Raw genomic sequence first — 21369 nt, 5'->3', positions numbered from 1 at the left:
GGAGCTCTATTTTCACCTATTAAAATAATGCATTTTTCAATTGCCTGAAACACCAAATGTCACAATTGTTATTACCTAGTTTTGTCTTGTTCATGTGAGAGTTGGTAAGTGAAAACTTTCAGACCACACAAAATTGAAGTGTACAAACTCTGGGCATGCCTAGATTAGCTACAATTTAGGTATAATTAGGATATTGTTAGCTATAGTTTAGGTATAATTAGGATATTGGTTAATAATCTATTATTATATCTTAATCATTCCCTCAGGTTTTACAAATGATTTTAAAATGATGACAGAAAATTACACCTGCAAATCTCCTTAAATTTTAACTCTGTTTAGGCCGGGCGCGGTGGCTCACGCCTGTAATCCCAGCACTTTGGGAGGCCGAGGCCGGCGGATCACGAGGTTAGGAGATCGAGACCATCCTGGCTAACACGGTGAAACCCATCTCTACTAAAAATTAGCCGGGCACGGTGGCGGGCGCCTGTAGTCCCAGCTACTCGGGGGGCTGAGGCAGGAGAATGGCGTGAACCCGGGAGGCGGAGCTTGCAGTGAGCTGAGATCCCGCCACTGCAGTCCGGCCTAAGTGAAAGAGCGAAACTCCATCTCAAAAAAAAAAAAAAAAAAAAAAAAATTTAATTCCGTTTAAAGCACTTTATCCCACAAACTAATTATAGGTTTTTAAGGTTTCTTACTCCATATTTAAAATTCAAAATTTTAATGCATTATTTCAGTAGACTTTGCTTTGGAAATAGAACAAAATATTTTCTTTAGAAATAATAAGGTATAACTTTTCAGACAACTGTACAGAAGTTTCATTTACTTATTTAATGGGTATGAGAATTCCTGAGGATATTTTCCTCAGAGTTATAGGTGTGAGTCATAGCAATTAGTTTAGGCTTTGGTGTTATTTTATTTTATATCTTTTAGCAAAACAAGATAAATATTATGTGGTTTTGTTTAAAAAAAGAGCCATTTGAAGTATTTCTTGGGTAATATATTTCTTTATTTACTATATTTTGATATAGGAATTGGCATTTATATTTCACAGAAAGAATATTTTTCTCAAAAGCATAACTTCAGCTATATTGTTAAGAAAATTTAAGTTGGATAAATATTCAGTTAACTCCTGACATTAAGAATGAACTATTGCCATCAGTAAATAGCATTGAGTCATTCTGTGGATTTAAGAATGTACTTATTTTAAATAACCTTAAAAGCCATAATTATTAAGATTTTGGAATTCTTCTGTAAATATTTGCCTGACAATTTTTTCCTTTTGCTTTGGACCTTTCAGATGATTTATTTATTCTTCTCATGATATGAACACTTAACATGCAATCTAGTTTTAATGCACTGTACAGTATTATTTATGACGAGCAATATTGTAGAGCAAATCTCTAGAACTTACTCATTTTCTATAACTGAAACTTTATACCCTTTGAACACCAGCTACACATATCCCCTTACCTCTAGCCCCTGGCAACTACCATTGTACTTTTTTTTTTCTATGAATTTGACTGTTTTGCATACCTCATATAACTGAAACCATGCAGTATTTATCTTAATGTGACTGGCTTATTTAACTTAACAATGTTCTTCACGTTAATCCATGTCATCACATATATATGGCAGGATTTCCTTATTTTTAAAGCCTAATATTTTCCATGATGTGAACAGAATATATTTACTTTATTTCTTCATCTGTCTAAGAATATTTAGGTTGTTTCCACATCTTGGCTATGTGAATAATGCTACCATGAACATGGGAGTGCAAATATATCTTTAAGACGTTGATTTCAATTCTTTTGGGTAAATATCCAGAAATGGGATCACTGAATTATCTTTGTTTTTTAATTTTCTAAGGAATCTTCATACTGTTTTCCATGGGCTGAACCATTCTACATTTCATCCAGTGATGTATGAGTTCCAGTTTATCTATATCTTCACACATCCTTGTCAACACTTATTAAAAAAAAATAGGAAGGAGGATCCAAGATAGCTGACCAGAAGCTATCTTGTGCTTTAACCACACCTCCAGCAAGCTGCTGTGTGCAACTCTCACGGAGAGAAGACAGATTGGCAAGTATTAGCTTTTCCACTGGAACATACAGGTGGACACATTGGGATTTATCAAGGGAACAACTTGACCCGCGGAAAATGGAGAGAAGTGAGATGAGACAACCACTCACCAGAGTGGCATTGAGCCAGGGAAGGCCCCCCAACCATGGGGAAATGGTGAGTGAGAGTCCCTGAAGACCTTGGGTCTCTAAACTGACATGGAGAGCTACATGGAGTCTAGGCAGAGGCCCGCCAAGGCAAATGCAGAGTCCCAGGAGCCTTTGATCCCAGGGTATCCTGATATTAACAGCTGCAGCCCCGAAAATGGGAGATATTATGCCCGCTTGCATGCCCCCAGGAAAGGGGCCAAATCCAGGGGCTGAGCACTAATGAACTTCAGGCCTTTCCTCCACCACACCTAGCAGGAAAAGGCCCTCTGGCCTGGGGCCTTAGCATGGCCAGACCAGCCTCACCTGGTTTCCTAGGCTGAGAGCAGCTCTGCAGTTCCCTGGGAGGGAGCTCCCGCTCAGGAGCTTCCAGAGGGAGAGACAAGCTGCCATTTTTGCTGTCTTGCAGCCCTCACCACTGTTCCTCTTAGGTTCTGGAGGGAGCAGGGTGATTAGGGACTGGTGTGGATCCCCAGCACAGAACAGCCACCCTATGGAAAAGCTTTGTTTTCCACATGGGTCCCAATTCCCACTTCTTTTCATTGGGTAGGACTTCTTGACCTGGGCCCCCAGTACAATTAGTCTGTCCCTCCTGAACACTTCAGTTGGAGGTACCTCTACATTTCTCTGAGAAGGAAACTCCAGATACAAACTACAGCCCCTCTGGCATTGCAGCTGCAGTGGTACTGCCCTAACTGCCCTCAGGTTGGGAAAGGAATAAAGGTCCTGAAAGCTACAATAGCACCTCTAGCACACAGCAGCCACCATATGGAGAGGAGCCCAGTCTCTCTTCTCTGTGAGCTCCAATCCCCCACTTTTTGCCAAACAGGCCCCCTAGCTTGGGACAGCAGTGTAGTAGCCCTACCCACTGGCTGAACATTCCCAGTAGCAGTGACTCTACATTTCTCTGAGGTGGAGCTCCCAGAGGAGGCAACTAAATGACCCTCCACCACTGCCACTGCAGTGGTACTGCCCTTGCTGTCCTCAGACTAGGGAAGAAGGAAGAACTTGAGTGCTTTAACCACACCTCCAGCAAGTTGCAGTTGCCCTAAGGAGAAGATACCAGTCTATCTCCTATATATACCCCTCCCCCTGGAACCCTCTGCTTGTCACCACCTGGGGCCCCTGTCTTGGGCCTACAGCACAGCAGCCCCACTGCAGTCCAATCAAACTGATTGACAATGGCTCTGCATCTCACTAGGGTAGAGCCCCAAGAGACAAGTGAAAGACCCTCTACCACAACCACTACCAAGTTTCCTTCACCTGATGCCTCCAAGCTAGGGAGGGAATATAAAGCCTGAGCTTGCCTTAGAGCTGCAGTGTATAGCCCAACAGTGCATGCTGAGATCTGCAGCCAGCACTCTAGTGGGAGAGGAGCCCACACTCTCAGAGCACTGAGAGGAAGCATGGCTGCAATTATGAGAAAATACAGAGGAGCATGTGGCTAAGCAAGACCCCACCTACAGGCTCTTATACTTAAGCACAATCTACTGGATCACAGCCCAGACTTCAACACCAAAAATACTTTGCTAATATACTCCCCTGTGAAACCAAGGATAAAAATTCAGCTACAATTAAAGACACTGCAGAAAACCTCAGCCATCTGAAAACTTCCAGAAAAGAATTCTACTGACTGTACTCAAATCACATTGCAGCTAAAGGAGCATCAGCCCAAACAGATGAGGAAGGACCAATGCAAAAAATCTGGCAATTCAAAAAGCCAGAGTGTCTTCTTTCCTTCAAATGACTGGACTAGTTCCCCAGTAAGTATTCTTAACCAGGCGGGAATGGCTGAAATGACAGAAATAGAATTCGGATTATGGATAGGAAAGAAGATCATCAAGATTCAGGTGAATGTCAAAACCCAACTGAAGGAATCTAAAGATTACATTAAAATGATATGTGAGCTGATAGACAAAATGGCCATTATAAGAAAGAACAAACATGATCTGATAAAGCTGAAAAACACACTACAAGAATTCCATAATACGATTGCAGATATTAACAGCAGAACAGATAAAGCTGAGGAAAGAATCTCAGAGCTTGAAGACTGGTTCTCCAATCTAAGTCAGACAAAGATTAAAAATAATAATAATAGAAGAAAGAAGACCTCTGAGAAATGTGGAAATATGCGAACATTCAAATTCGGGAAATACAGAGAACCCTTGCAAAATACAAGAAGACTATCCTCAAGACACATAGTCATTGGATTCTTCAAGGTCAGAATGAAAGAAAAAATGTTAAAGGCAGCTAGGGAAAAGGGGCAGGTCACCTACAAAGGGAACCCCATCAGACTAACAGCAGACCTTTCAACAAAAACAAAAACCCTACAAGCGAGAAGAGAATGGGGTCCCATATTCAACATTCTTAGAGAAAATAAATTACAATAAAAACTTTTATGTCTGATCAAACTAAGCTTTATAAGCGAAAGAGAAAAAAGATCCTTTTCAGACAAGCAAATGGTAAAGGATTTTTGTTACCACCAGACATGCTTTGGAAGAGATCCTGAAGGGAGTATTAAATATGGAAAGAAAAGACCCCTATCAGCCACTACAAAAACAAACTTCAGTACATAGACCAATGACACTGTAACACAATCACACAAACAAGTCTACATAATAACCAGCTAACAACGTGATGACAGAAACAAATCTGCATATCAATACTAGCATTGAATGTAAACAGGATAAATGTTCCAATTAAAAGGCACAGAGTGGCAAGTTGGATAAAGAAGCACGACCCAACAGTATCAAAAGACCCATCTCACATGCAGTGACATCAGTAGACTCAAAGTATAGTGGAAGAATCTGCCAAGCAAACAGAAAGTAGAAAAAAGAAGGGGTTGCTTTCCTAATTTCACACAAAACAGAATTTAAACCCGCAAAGATAAAAAAAGACAAAGAATGTCATTACGTAATGGTAAAGGGCTCAATTCAACAAGATGACTTAACTATCCTGCATATATACATACCAGACACAGGAACACCCAGATTCATAAAGCAAGTAAGAGACCTGTGAAGAGAGTTAGATAACCACACAATAATGGTGGGAGACTTCAACACATCACTGACATTATTAGACAGATCACTGAGGAAGAAAACTAACAAAGATATTCTGGACAAGAACACAGCGGTACCAAATGGGCCAATAAACATCTACAGAACACTCCACTCGGAAACAATAGAATGTACATTGTTCTCATCTGCACATGACACATACCCTAAAATCAACAACATACTTGGCCATAAAACAGTCCTCAACTTATTAAAAACAAAACAAAACAAAATCATACCAACCACACTGTGGAACCACAATACAATGAAAACAGAAAACAATTCTAAGAAAATTGCTTAAAACCATATAATTACATGGAAATTAAGTACCTGCTCTTGAATAACTATGAAGTAAATAATGACATTAAGACAGAAGTCAAGAAATTCTTTAAAATTAGTGAATACAAAGATACAACACATACCAGAATCTCTGGGACACAATTAAGCCAAATAGAGAAGTTCATAGCACTAAACACCCACATCAAAAAGTTAGAAAGATCTCAAATCAGTAACCTAGCATGGTAACTCAATGAACTAAAGAAATAAGAGCAGGGTAACACCAAAGCTACTAGAAGACAAAAAATAAAGCTGAAGTGAAGTAAAGTGAGACGTAAAAAACATCCAAAAGTCAACAAATCCAGGAGTTGGGTTTTTTTTTTTTTTGAAAAAAAAAAAAAGATTGATAGACTGCTAGCTAGACAAAAAAAAAGAAGAAAGAAAGAAAACAAAGAAAGAGAAAGAAAGAAGAGAAAGAAAGAAAAAGAGAAAGAAAAAGAGAAAGAAAGAAAGGAAAAAGATCAAAATAAATGCAATTGGAAATGACAAAGGGGATGTTACTACCAACCCCACAATAATACACAAACATTTCAGAGACTATTATGAACACCTCTGTGCACACAGGCTAGAAAACCTAAAAGAAATGGATACATTCTTGGGCACATACAGTCTTCCAAGACTGAATCAGGAAGAAATTGAATCCCTTAACAGACCAGTAACAGGTTCTGAAATTGAATCAGTAATAAAAGTCTGCTCATCAAAAACAAAAACAAACAAACAAAAAAGCCCAGGTCCAGGAAAATTCACAGCTGAATTCTACGAGATGTATAAAAAAGAGCTGGTATCATTTCTACTGAAATGACTGAAAAAAAATTGAGCAGATGGAATCCTATGGAATCCTCTATGACTCATTCTATTAGGCCAGCATCATCCCAATACCAAGACATGGAAAACACACAACAAAAAAAGAAAGCTTTAGGCCATTAACTTGATGAACACAGATGCAAAAATCCTCAAAAATACTAGCAAACTAAATCCCCCACCACATCAAAAAACTAATCCACCATGATCAAGTAGGCTTTATCCCTGGGATGCAAGGTTGGTTCAACATATGCAAATCAATCAATGTGCTTTGTCACTTAAACAGAACTGAAAACAAAAACCTCATGATTATTTCAATAGATGCAGAAAAGGCTTTTAATAACATTCAATATCCCTTCATGTTAAAAGTCCTCAACAAACGAAGCATTGAAGGAAGACACTTCAAAATATTAAGAGCCATTTTTTTAATACATAAAAATATATTTTTATAGATATAGAGAGTACAAGTGCCATTTTGCTACCTGGATACATTGTGTAGTGTTGAAGCCTGAGCTTTTAGTGTAACTATCATCTGAATAGTGTACATTGTGCTCACGAAGTAATTTCTCATCCCTGACCCCCATCCCACCATCTCAGTCATCTGAGTCTCTGATGTCTGTATTTCCACTCTCTAAGTCCGTGTGTGCACAATATATAGCTCCCAACTATACTTAAGATCATGCAGTATTCGACTTTCTGTTTCTGAGTTATTTCACTTAAGATAATGGCCTCTAGTCCCATCCATGTTGCTGCAAAAGACAAGATTTCATTCTTTTTATGGCTGAGTAGCATTCCATTGTACATAAACAACGATGGATACAGATCCACTTTTACATGGTGTGTTAGATTCCTAGGGCTGCCATGAATAGAGCCATTTATGAAAAACCCACAGTCAACATCATACTGAATGGGCAAAAATTGGAATTACTCCCCTTGAAAATTGGAACAGGACAAGGATGCCCTCTCTCACCACTCTTATTCAACATAGTACTGGAAGTCCTGGCTAGAGCAATCAAGCAGGATAAAGAAATATAAGACACCCAAATAGGAAGACAGGGAGTCAAACTGTCCTTGTTTGCAGATGATATGATTCTATACCTAGAAAACCTCATTGTTTCTGCCCCAGATCTTCTTGATGTGATAAACAACTTCAGCGAAGTTTCAGGATACAAAATCAATTTACCAAAATCAGTAGTATTTCTATAAACCAACAACATCCAAGCTGAGAACAATCCCATTCACAACTGCCACAAAAATAATAAAATATCCAGGAATACAGATTACCAGGGAGGTGAAAGATCTCTACACTGAGAATTACAAACATCACTCAAAAGAATCAGAACTGACACAAACAAATTTTAAAAATCCATGTCCATGGATAAGAAGACTCAATGTAGTCAAAAACGTCACGTTGTCCAAAGCAATTAATAGACTTATTGCTATTCCTATCAAACTACCAATGACATTCTTCATGGAATTAGAAAAAACAATTTAAAAATTTGTATAAAACAAAAAAGAGCCCTAATAGTCAAAGCAATCATAAACAAAAAGAAAAAAGCTGAAACCAATTTAGTCACTTAACTTCAAAATATGCTATAAGGCTACCGTAACCAAAGCAGCATGGAACTGGTGCAAAAACAAACACATAGACCAATGGAACACAATAGAGAACCCAGAAATAATTCCACACATCTATAATCATCTGATCTTTGACAAAGTCAATGAAAACAAGCAATGTAGAAAGGCATCCCTATTCAATAAACGGTACTGGGATAACTGGCTAGCCATATACGTAAGATTGAAACTGGACCCCTCCCTTACACCATATACAAAAATCAACTCAAAATGGATTAAAGATTTACATGTAAAACCTAAAACGATAAAAACCCTGGAAGATAATCTAGGAAATATCATTCTAGATATCAGGACTGGCAAAGATTTTATGAAGTAGACACCAAAAGCAATTACAACAACAAATAAAAATAGACAAATGAGACCTAAATAAACTAAAGAGCTTCTAACAGGGAAAGGAACTATCAACAGATGCATACATTGCAGATGTTTTCTCCCATTCTGTAAACAGACAGTTACATAATGGGAGAAAACATCTGCAATGTATGCATTTGACAAAGGTCTATATACAGCAGCTATAAGGAACATAAATTTACAGCAAAACCAAACAATCCCATTAAATAACTGGCAAAGGACATGAACAGATACTTCAAGCAAAGACATACCTGTGGCCAACAAGCACACAAAACATGCTCAGAGTTGCTAACCATTAGATAAATGCAAATCAAAATCACAATGAAATACCATCTCACATCAGTCAGAATGGCTATTACTAAAATGTCAAAAAATAACAGAGGCTTGCAAGATAGCAGAGAAAAGGGGATGTTTATACATTGCTGGTAGAAATACAAAGTAATTCAGCCATTGTGGAAAGTTGTTTGGTGATTTCTCAATGAACGTAAAACAGAATTGCCATTTGACCCAGCAATCTCATTATTGGATATACACTGAAAGAAATATAAATAGAAATCTTTCTACCGTAAGGGCACATGCACATGTGTATTCATTGCAGCACTATTTGCAATAGCAAAGACATGGATCCAACTTAAATGCCCATCAACAATACACTGGATAAAGAAAATGTGATATATATATATCCATTCATATATATAATATATAAAATATATATAAATATATAATAAAACATATATAAAATTATATATATATATATATATATATAAATGGAATACCAGCCAGCCACAAAAAATAACTAGATAATGTTCTTTGCAGCAAACACAGATAGAGCTGCAGGTCATTATCCTAAGCAAACTAAAGCAGGAATAGAAAAGCAAATCACATATTCTCATGTATAAGTGGGAGCTAAACAATGAGAACACATGGAAACAGAGAGAAACAACAGACACCAGGGATTACTTGAGGGTGGAGGGTGGGAGAAAGGAAAGGATAAAAAAAACTACCTGTGAGGTAGTGTGCTTATTACCTGGTTGACGAAATAATCTGTACACCAAACCCTTGAGACACACAGTTTACCTGTGTAACAAACCTGCATATATAATCTTAAATGTAAAAGTTATAATAATAATAATGAGAACATTGTTATTATTATACTCTTAACAAGTGTGAGATATACAGGCATTGAACTAGTTGTGGAATTAAACAAAAGTATCATCACAAAGTCTTTATCTTCATGTACCTTTTATAGCAGTAGAAGATATAAGCAATCAACAAATAATAATAATATAACAAATAATATGCAATACTATTATAGATTGTGATAACTACACAGAAGAAAATCAGTAATGATGGGATAGAAAGTTACTGGAGGAAGCTAATTTAGGTAGTATGATTACAGATGATATTTTTGAAAATGATGTTTGAACTGAGTTCTTGAAGAGGATATTGTAGATAACTTCTCTCATTTGGAAGCTACACTGATTTTTATGTGCATAACCACAACTTATCTGTTTTGAGAGATGCTAACAGCACCTAGAAATGCGGCAGGTGATACAAGACTAATTAAAACAGCTCCTGAATATTTTCCATTCCACAGCTGTTGATTCAGGGATGACTGTGAACTCTAATTTTGAAAAATAAGGTTGCTTTTCTGAAGAAATTTTTTTAAAAAAATTAATCTTAACATATAAACATGAGAGGCCAGGTGCTGTGGCTCACGCCTGTAATCCCAGCACTTTGGGAGGCGGAGGTGGGTGTATCACCTGAGATTAGGAGTTTGCAACCAGCCTGGCCAACATGGTGAAACCCCGTTTCTACTAAAAATACAAAAAATCAGCCGGGCATGGTGGTGGGCACCTGTAATCCCAGTTACTCGAGAGGCTGAGTCAGGAGAACCGCTTGAACCTAAGAGGCAGAGTTTGCAGTGAGTCGAGATGGCGCCATTGCATTCCAGCCTGGGCATCAAGAGTGAAACTCGGTCTCAAAAAAAAAAAAGAAAGAAAGAAAAAAAAATGAGAAAATTACCGATCAAAGCCACCTCAGGGAAGTAACTCTTAGCTAATCCAGAGAAATAGAGCTGACACTATCGAATTAAAGAAACCTGAAGTCGGCATTTCATCTCGACTTTTAGCACACGGGGCCAATAGATCCTGCAATTTTATAGGCCAGTTTGAATAAAGTTTGTATTATTTTCAGAAGGAAACAGATTAGGTTATATAAACCAGGAGGAAAAATTAGACAACATTTAAATAGGTAGAGGAAGAATGAGAGAATTAAAGAAAACAATATGCAAATTCCCTAAATTCAAAAAGTTCTTGACATGTTCAAAGAAAAGACAATCTGCTAGTTTTAGGAATATAGTAGGGAAAAAATAAAATGTGGTATTAGATGAGGTTGGAGAGAAAAACAGAAACCATAATGAGTTTGGATTTTATTAATGATAAGTCATTGCCACATTTTTAGTGGGGAAACTAGATTTTTAGTGTCTTTGTTTTGTTTTTATTTTCATAAATTACTCCAATTGTTCTGTGAAGAATGTATTAGAAAAGTTTAAAATAATGTCAAGGAAGATAAAATAACTTGAAAGAATGAAGACAAGTTTGGAATAACAGATAATGCTGGTTTGGGTGACTGAAAATATAAGCAGAGATCAACAGAGATTTTCTGAACCAAAATCTTTGCTAGAGATAGATGTAATAAAACTCTATAAAGAAGTTGTGGTAGGGGTATAAGGAATTACCTGAGTCATGAGGGTTGGTGGAACCATTTTCAACCTTGAAAATCAGAAGCATTGCTTTGGATATATTACACTTGAGATTTTTTTCAAAACCGCAAGTAGAAATCGCTATCAAATAGATAGTTGGATGTGAAACTCTTCCATTCCTCTTACCACCCTCTGACTATCTTTGATTTTTACAGCTCCATATGTTTCACTAAAGGTCTATCATCAGATATACTAATAATTCTGTCACTGTTGATATTTTTGCTTTGGTTTTCAATATTGTTTTGTCCAGAAATATATCTGAGTTCATAATCTCAGAGATTATATGGGCACCTAAATATAATAAAATGTACAGGAAGGATACAGTCCTCCACAAATGCAGACAGACTTACATAGCAGGCTTTAGGACAAATGGAAGCCTGCTGTTACATGCATGCATACTACAGGGTAAAATATAAAAGGAAAAATATAAAAGTAATTTAATTATAGCATCTTAAAACTTAGTAACTATTTGGACCATTAGGGATGATACCCTCTGGGAGTATCAACAATAATTTAGATCTTATTATCAGACTACAAGGGATCTAATGTTCTATGCATGATTTGCAATTTAAGTAAATTAACCTCAGTGCTGTAGTCAGGCATTATTTTAAGATAGAAACCTCCTCTCTGGCAGCTTTTATCTCTGCATGGTTAATAAGGAAAGTGTAGCATTGCCCATACAGCTGTTCTCTTTGCAATATTGGAGTCACAGAAGGACAAGTTTAACCTATGAGCTACAATTTGGCCACAGCTGGATATAAATCTTTTTTTTGTTTTTTTTTGCTTTGAATTTATATTAAGCATGGTGCTGACTGAGTCATGGAGTCCTGCAGAGGCTCTATGGATGAAACTTTATGGATCACTGTTCAAACTGAAGAGAGAATTTAAAGATTACTTACTCCAAGCCAATAACCAGTAATAAATCCATGTTAAACAGATGGTAGAATGACAAACTAGACACAATCCAAAGATTTGCCATAATCTTAGAAAATTTCCATGTTCTTGCATGAGGCTCATGATTTCCCAGCATGTCAACTTTTGTAGAATGACAACTTCAAACAGTATATTATATCTGTGAATTCATCCAAATGCTTATGAGACTGTGATCATTAGTTTTTGAAAAACTGTTCACCTCTAAATCTTAATTCATTTTTTCTATCTCAAAACTTTGATTTGTTAAACAGCTGCCACCTGGTAAACAAACTTAGAGAATGCTTTTTAAAAAATTATGTTTTTTTTTTCCCAGAGATACCATAGATACTTCATGAGTCTATAGACATAAAATATCGGCCAGCTGCTTCTCTAAAAATAGATTAGTAGAGGCTGCTTGTAAGATGGAAGGGCAAATATAACATTGGAATGAATGTGAAGAAAGATGAAAAGGAAAGGTCCGTATTTTTAATCTGATCTTGCCTTTCCTCCATCAGCAGTAGAGAACTTGAATCTTGAGCTTTTCTAATAAATCATATTCTATGTTGTTAAATTTGTACTAAGAAATTCTACTTGCCTTCTATAATTTGAAATTCTGAAATCAAATGACATTTTTATTGTTATTTAATATGTTTATGACTGTGAAAAAAGTATTAGGTATTTTTTGAGGGAGGGTGCTGATTAGGCATAGGTTTACAGTTGTGATTTATAAAAATAGCAAATAAAATTATTCTGGTAACTGGTCACTGTCACTGGAATGTTGGGACGGAGGCTGGGATGTTAAATTATTACTTTGCTAATATCTTTCTGTAGTATCCCGAGATGGAACCTTAGTTTTCTGATTTTGATTTTCTTTTTTCCTAATGCATGCATTTAATGCTGTAATTTTCCCCCCAAAAAACTGCCTTCGAAGCAGTTTTTACATTAAATTTTCCACAAAATTAAATACATTGAATTTTCACTTTTATTTAGTCCAAAATATTTCATAAGATCTCTTTGAATTTAATTTTGGACTCAGATTATTTAGAAGCATGTTGTTTAATTTGCAGGCACTTGAAGATTGTTCAGTTGTCTTTCTGTTATTGATTTTAAGTTTAATTCCGCTGTAGTCTGAGAACATACTCTTTATGATATGTATTCTTTTAAACTTAACAGGGTTTGTTTTATAGTCCAGACTATAATCTATTGCAGTAAATATCTCATTCACACTTGAGAAGAATGTTTATTCTGCTAATGATGATGGTGACATCTATTTGCATCCATTGGGGCAAAGTGGTTTACGTTGCAATTTAGGTCATACATGTCCTGGGATGATTAACCCCTTCATCATTATATAATGTCCATCTTTATTCCACATAATATTTCTTGTTCAAAGTGTGATATTTTAGAAATCAATATTACTATTCCAACTCTTTTGATTAGTGTTTGTTTGACATGTTTTCCTAGCTTTTAACTTATAAACTAAGCTTGTCTTTAAATGGTTTCTTGTAAGTAGTATGTAGTTTGGTCTTGCTCTTTTACTCAGTTGGATAATTTTGATTTCTAGTTGATGTATTTAAAATGTTTACATTTAAAAGTATTATGGATAGAATTAGATTACAATCTACCATCTTGCTAGCTCTTTTCTATTTTTCCTTTTTTTCTTTCTTCCATGGGTTTAACTGAATGTTTTTATAATTTAGTTTTATCTTTTCATTTATTTATTATTTATTCCTCTTATTTTAATATTTTTATGACTACATTGTGGTTTACAATGTCAATTTTTAAGGAATCTAAACTGACTTTCAGAAAATCTTATGGAGATTTATTAGTAAATTCCTTAAAACAATATCATCCCCATTCCTCACTTCTCTTTTACCATTGTTGACATACATTGCCCTTTTACATATGCTAAAACACACAATACATTGCTACTCTTATTGCTTTAAGCAATATTTTTAGAACACTTTCCACATTTTTAAAATAATATGTTTCCTTTATATATTCATTTTCTAAACTTCTTCTTTTATTTTAAATCCAAGATATGACATACCATATTTCACCTGCCTGCGGAACTTCCTTTAACACTTTTTGTACAGTTTTTGCTAGAAATAAATCCCTTAGTTTCATTAGTCTGAGAAACTCTTTTTTCCTTTTACCTTTGCAGGGTACTTTCAGAAGACATAGAAGTCAGCTTTGGTAGATTTTATTTACAGTACTACTCCCTTATCCACAGTTTAATTTTCTGAGGTTTCAATTACCTCAGAAATTGTGGTCTACTGTGGTCCAAAAATATTAAATGGAAAATTTCAGAAATAATTCATAAATTTTAAATTGTGGGCTGTTCTAAGTTAGGCGATGAAATCTCAGACCCTCCTGCCCCACCATGCCTGGCATGAGAATTGCCTTTTTGTGGAGCTCAGCCATACTGAATACACTACCCACCCATTTGTCACTTAGTAGCCATCTTGGTTATTAGATTGACTGTCATGGCATCTCAATACTTTTGTTCAAATCATCCTTATTTTAATTAATAAAGACCCCAAAGCACAAGCGTAATGATGCTGGAATATTGGTTTTTGTTGTTGTTGTTGTCATTTTTCAGTTTGTTTTTGTGTTTTCGAGATGAGTTCTTAGTCTGTCACACAGGCTGGAGTGCAGTGGCAAGATCGCAACTCATTGTAGCCTCGACCACTGGAGCTCAAGTGATTCTTACACCTCAGCCTCCCAGGTAGCTGGAACAGGTGCGTGCCACCACACATGGCTAACTTTTCTTTTATTATTTATAGAGACGAAGTCTTGCTATGTTGCCCGGACTGGTATTGAATTCTTGAGGTCAAGTGATCATCCCACGTTGTTCTCCCAAAGTGCTGGGATTACAGGCATTAGCCACCATGCCAGGTCTGGAATATTGTTACATTTGTCCTATTTTATTATTAGTTATTATTTTACTGTGTGTAATTTATAAATTAAACTTTGTTATAGTTATGTATGTGTAGGAAAAAATGTACATATGGTGTTCTGTACAGTCCTCAGTTTTAGGCATTCACTGGAGGTCTTGGAACATATTCCCCATGGATAATAGGGGGCTAATGTATTTATTTTTTTTCTAGCACTTTAAAAATGTTATTCTACTCTCATCTTGCTTGCATGATTTGAACAAGCGGTCTACTGTAATTCTTATTTTTATTTCCCTGTAGGTAATTTGTTTTTTTTTGTGGGGGGGTAGGGTAGTGGGGGGTAGTTTGTGGTTGCAGTGGTGGTATGCTGCTTGCTGATCTCTTGTTTTTCTCTTTTAATTTCCAGTATTTCTGTTTGATATTTTTTACAGTTTTTTCTCTCTGCCGAAATTGCTTATCTGATTTTGCAAATTATCTATTATTCTCTCTCTCTCTCTTTTTTTTTTTTTTTTTTTGAGACAGAGTCTTGCTCTGTCGCCCAGGCTGGAGTGCAGTGACGCGATCTCGGCTCACTGCAAACTCCGCCTCCTGGGTTCACGCCATTCTTCTGCCTCAACCTCCCAAGGAGCTGGGACTACAGGCGCCCACCACCACGCCGGGCTAATTTTTTGTATTTTTAGTAGAGACGGGGCTTTCACTGTGTTAGTAAAGATGGTCTCGATCTCCTGACCTCATGATCTGCCTGCCTCGGCCTCCCAAAGTGCTCTCTTTATTGACTTCCTGTGCGTATTTTAAATTCTCTGTTTGATAGTTTCAACATCTGTTTCATACATGACTTTATTTCTGGTGATTACCTTGTCTCTTCTGAATATGTATTTTCTTACTTTTTGTATGCCTCAGTTTTTCTTTGTTGTTGAAAGACAGAAATATATAGGCAATAGATACTGGGAACTTTTTTTTATTACATATTTGGATATAAGTGCCTCTTTTTGTTAGACATTAGTTTGCAATTTTATGTAGAAGTTTGGCAGGGTTTGAAATTTGTTGTTGCTGTAGTTACTATCTTCAGCTATCCAGAAAATTCAAGTTCCTAGTAATGCTCTGTTTCTTTTTCAGTGTTTTGTCTTGGGTCTTCCTTTTGCACTGCTTCCCACTTACAACTCTCCCAGCTGACTTCACCGTTATTTTTACTGGAGGCTTGTCATCTTGGTGGTATGGGGTGGAGAAGAGAAAGTGCTCTGGGATGTTCCATTAAGGCTGTTTAAGCAGGTTCTTTAACCCTGGATCTGGAGGCATCAGCATCATAATTGTTCCTGCCTTCCCTCTGGATATAATGCTGGACTTAGCTTGTATCTCTGCCTCTACTCCAGGGCTAGAGCTCTTTATTTATTTTTATTTTATTTTATTTTTGTCTTTTGAATTTTCTTCTCTTTTTATTTTATTTATTAAAAAAAAAAATTCCTCTGTGCCCCTCTCAGCTACAGGGATTTTCCACCAGTGCCCTCATGTTGCAGCTCTGATGACCTCCCACCTGCTGATTAAGCTTCCTGTTTCATAATATAGATAGGGAAGTTGGGTCTGTGTGAAATTTCCATTCTAGCTTCTGTTCCCTTCCCCAAAGTCCTCAGGCTATAGGTTTCGATAAACTTCTCCCTAATGATTAGATTTTGTTTTCCCTAGGGAAGGCAGGGGAGCTGGATCTTAGTGAAATTCCCATGGTGACTTCTGTTATCCTCCCAAGTGTCCTCAGTCTATAGATTTGGATGATATTTTTTCCCTGTTGATTGTCTCCTTTCCCTAGTGGAGGTGGAGATAAGGGTCTGCTGCCTGGGTTTCCATGTGGCTGTCATTTCCCACCCCCAGCCAGCACACAATGAGCTTTCTCAGGGATCTCTTTGATCTTCTCAGTCAGGACGTGGTGAGATTCTGCCTGCAAGAGGATGTGAATACCCTTATGTCTGTGGGGCCCAGGGGCTTCACGCTCTCATGATAATCTTCTAACTGCTTTGTATGGAGATCCGCCCCTGATGAGCAAATCCAGCCAACTTTCTTCTCCCTCTAGGAGTCTGTGTCTCTCCTGATTGATTTCAGGTTTAAAGTTTGCTCTGCATCTTCAGTTCTCTGATTTGTTCAAGGAAAGTTTATTGCTAATTAACTTATTTATTTGTAGTCACCAAAATGGCCTTAACTCTTCCCTCAGTTTAAATAAACTTTAGATAGATTTCTTTCTGATTATAGGCTACTGGTCTCCTTATGTTTAGAGTATTTTACATTAGAAAAGTTTCTATTTTAAATTCTTTCTCTTCCCCTTTGAGACACAAATCTTTTCTCCCAGTCTGTTTGCTGGTTTACTACTCAGGAATGTCTTTCTCAAGTTATTCCTTTGAAATGTAAATCAAGAAACAGAGAGACTTCATCTTCCAGTCTCTGTGTAAGGTCAGGGGCCTAACTTCACCAATTAGCAAACACAGATTGACAACTACATGAACTAAATTATGGACTGAATGTTTATGTCCCCACCAAAATTCATATATTGAAACCCTAACCGCTGTCGAAGTTACCAAAAAAAAAAGTATCAATATCAAAATGAAGTCACTTACGTCAAACTCAACAAAATGGAGCTGTCAGGCCATAAAGAAGGAACCGTCATGCCAGTATGCCTGTAACAGGACTTATCAAAATAAATTAATGCATGTATCTCTATGACAAGAACTATGGAAGGAACTCCTTAAAAACTTAGTATTCCAGAGAAGCCATTTGCACAAGGACATTTGTCTAACAGTGGCTGCCTCTGCTAATTAGCCAAAGCCAACTCTTGCAAGAAACCCCTATAACCAATGGCCCTTATTTCAAAACAGCTTACATGAACTGATCTCCTTATCTCCTTTAATTAAATATATATATTTAATTAAATATATACATATATATATATTTTTTCCTCATTCCAGCCCTCTTGGATGTGCCTGTGGTTTAAACATACCATGCATATCTTGAATTGCAATCCTCTGATAATCCTAAATAAACTCTTTCTTTGGAGAGCCTGTCTCTGCTGTTCTTTAACGTCGATGCACCCAATATGATGCTATTTGGAAGAATGGCCTTGAAAAGGTAATTAGACTTAGGTGAGGTCAAGAGGGCAGGGCCATCTTTATGGGATTAGTGTCCTTAGCAAGCCAGGAAGAGGGAATCTATTCAGTTGGAAGCTTGATCTTGGATTTCTCAGTCTCCAGAAATGTGAGAAACAAATGTCTGTTGTTTAAGCCATTTACTCTATATTTTGTTACAGAAGCTTGCGCAGACTGAGACACCAACCTCCCTGCTAATGTTGTTCAGTATCTTTCCACTAGCTCACCCCAGTGCTCAAGACGCTCTCACTTTTTGTTTCAGTGGAGTTGCATTCAATTTCTTTTCCAAGTTTTTCTTTTTGGTCTAAGTTGTCTTGTGCAGTATTTCTCTGACAGTGGGTTTTTTCAGATTTTCTTTGTGGGAGAGACACTGATTCCAGTTCTTTGTATCTCAGGCTGAAAAGGGAAGTCCCCATTATTATGTTTACTGGATAATCAGACTAGTGGTGAGGAGGGATGGCAGGGGAGTAAAATACTCTTTTAGGCTCTGATTAAACCTCTTTATTAGGCAGCGTCTATGTCCCTGTGTCTTGAGTATGGGCCCTTCAGAAGAGCTCTTGCTCCTCCTGAAGCTGTTGTGCTTATTTTAACACATATTTCTGTTCTTCCTCCAATAGTAGAGCCTTTATTTTTCTGTATTCCTCCTAAGCTGCAATGGGTTTCCCTCAGTTTCAGAAATAATGGTTTTTCTTGCTCTTATCCCTTGTAGGTTAGGATCATTGTTTTGTAGAGGAGATATGGAGATCAGTTAACTACTGTAATCTTCCCCCGGAAAGCCCCAGGTAGAAAGCTTCATTCAGATTCTTCCCATTCCTTCCTATGAAGTCCTCGTGAGGTTCTGGAAGAATAGTCTGTAAGAGGATGTCAAATGTCTATATTTACAGCCCTAAACTTCTTTCTCACACTAGCTCATACTCTCACATTAGCTCATACTCAGCCTATAGCAACTTCTTAAAAATTCTTAAGTTGATCTTCCTACTAGTTTACATGTTGTGACCCTGCTGCCCCACCTTAGCAATTGCTAAGGTTTTGTTTCACTCTGTGATACTCTCTCCAGATTTTGAGTAATGTGTTGGTATCACATTTTTGATGGGTTCAATAAATGTTCCTAACTTACAGTTTGTCTAGCTTTTTTATGTTGTAACTGTTGAAAGGATGTTCATTTTTTCTGTCTGTACCTCCCTATTAAAAATGAAAATCTCTCCTTTTTTACTGAAATCTAGTAGACAAAAATGACTTCTTTATTACAAGCGAGTGGCTCTCTGGTCCTTAAATATCTCTTTTACCACTAAAATAAACAAGCTTTTTTTCTGATAAGTAGAATTGACAGAAGTACAGGTTATTGTAGATTAAAGCTTCATGTCAAAGTCCTTGTAACCACACACATTTCTGTTTTAAACATTCCATCTGATTTAAATTGGGTATACTAAAATTGTTTTTGATTATTATTTTCTCTTAACTCTTCCTGTTTACTTTAGTGAAAAAAGGATAATTTATAATTTTCTTCCTCAATGGTTTTTTGGTCTCAGTCAATATGACATGAATTCTTGTCATCTTATTGCCTGAGAAAATTTTAATTAAAAAAATTTAAATTATTACAGAGAGACATCCCCTCTCTTTCTGTAAATTTGAGCATTTTCTTGTACTTGTCTTCCATTATTTCTGCACCTATAAGGTATTAGTTTTTTGTAGGATGGACTTTATTTGGCATATGTGTTAAATGTTAATTATTTCATTCTATGTCAGTTTAGTTTAAAATAAGTTTCATTGACACAAATAATGAAAATACCAGTGATGTATACCAGCTTTGTTGCAAGTTGATAGTAAAAATTAATTGTGTTTCATGGTAACAATGTAGCTAATAACCATCTAAGAGATATCTTTTAAGAAAATAAACACTGTGAAGAATGAATAAGAGAAAATGTTATACTCTGGAAAAAAGAAAAAAAATTATAACATCATTTGAAACATTAAAAAAACCATATCATAAAAATCAGTGACTACTTAGATTGTGTAGTATTTCCTGAATGGAACTCTTCGGTGTATCAAACCAGGCAAAATCTGGCATAATTATGTTAATTAGAGTTTGTAGTAATTGTTAAAAAAAAACAACTTAAAACAAATTCAATTAAATGAAGTTTAATTGTGCAAAGAATGATTTGAGAATCTGGCAGCCTGTCAAGCAAAAATAGGTTCAGAGTGATGCCAGGGCTACCACAGGGTTAGATAATATTTATGGACAGTAAAAGGAAAGTGACATATAGAAAATGGATGTAAGGTACAGAAATCACAGGACTGGTTACAGCTCAGTGTTTGCCTTATTTGAACATGGTTTTAACAGTTGGCTGCAACTCTATTACTGGTACAAAATTATATTTTAGTCTATTTACATATTCAAATAGGTTACAGACCATTATATACGGAGAAACCTTTAGGCTAAAGTTAAAATATGTAAGGGAGCAGCTTTAACTTAATTTAACAATTTTTCCTCTTTTGGTCAATCTCTCAATTTTGGCATTAGTGTTACTTGGTTACTATTACAAATGGATTTATTTGGTCTCAAGTCCTACTGGGAAATAGAACTTTATTCCAGTCAAAGAGAAACCATTTCATATTCTACAGATGGCTGCAAGCAAACATTTAAAACTTTAGAGAGAATACAGTGTGGCAGGGAGACTACTACTACCATTATATGGGACATAATATCAAGAGTTCAGAGTATGCTCCTTAGCACTGCATTAACCAAACCACCTAAAATCAAATAGATCAAAGAATGAGCCAGAAAAAAAGTTGTCTTGTTTTAACTAGGAACCTAGTTGTCAATTCCATGCACCTGAGTCTTTATATTGCCTAAAGTATTTATCCACATGTATCAAGAAGAGTCAGATTTTTTTCCTGTTCAGCCATAAGTAATCAGGAGAAATTTTAATATCTAGCACAACATTAGCAAGATAATGTTTAAAAGTCTGCTCTGCAGTCACAGCCCTTGTTGTAGAATCTGCTATAGAGCCTATTATAGGAGACACATTTCTAATCATTGCCTCATTTACTCTAACCCACGGAAAAATAGACCGAGCAAATGATGCCCATAAAGAAGGGTGAAGACCTCCTGGAAATGTTTGCTTTACCCTATGATGTAGTTAAGAGGAGTGGACTGATATTCTGTTTCTGAGCAATTATGGAGGAGCAAAGGTACTATTAAAAATATCTCACTTACTCTGGCCCTTTGTCTTCTATCCATCAAGACGTAAGGTTGCCAAAAAAGGC

General features: G+C 36.5%; 2 annotated features.

Moving 5' to 3' along the window:
* Positions 16886–17180: a silencer, noted in NCBI's record as "tiled region #110; HepG2 Repressive non-DNase unmatched - State 24:Quies". NCBI's record gives its function as "represses a minimal TATA promoter and a strong SV40 promoter by Sharpr-MPRA in HepG2 cells {active_cell/tissue: HepG2}" and the evidence as "EXISTENCE:reporter gene assay evidence [ECO:0000049][PMID:27701403]".
* Positions 18621–19127: an enhancer, noted in NCBI's record as "NANOG-H3K27ac hESC enhancer chr8:112690362-112690868 (GRCh37/hg19 assembly coordinates)". NCBI's record gives its function as "activates a minimal SCP1, AML or CMV promoter by ChIP-STARR-seq in primed H9 embryonic stem cells {active_cell/tissue: H9 hESC(primed)}" and the evidence as "EXISTENCE:reporter gene assay evidence [ECO:0000049][PMID:30033119]".

This window comes from Homo sapiens, chromosome 8, assembly GCF_000001405.40.
Source record: "Homo sapiens chromosome 8, GRCh38.p14 Primary Assembly".
Taxonomy (NCBI): domain Eukaryota; kingdom Metazoa; phylum Chordata; class Mammalia; order Primates; family Hominidae; genus Homo; species Homo sapiens.
Note: the sequence above shows the minus strand (reverse complement) of the source record. Positions and strands in the feature narration are given on the sequence as shown.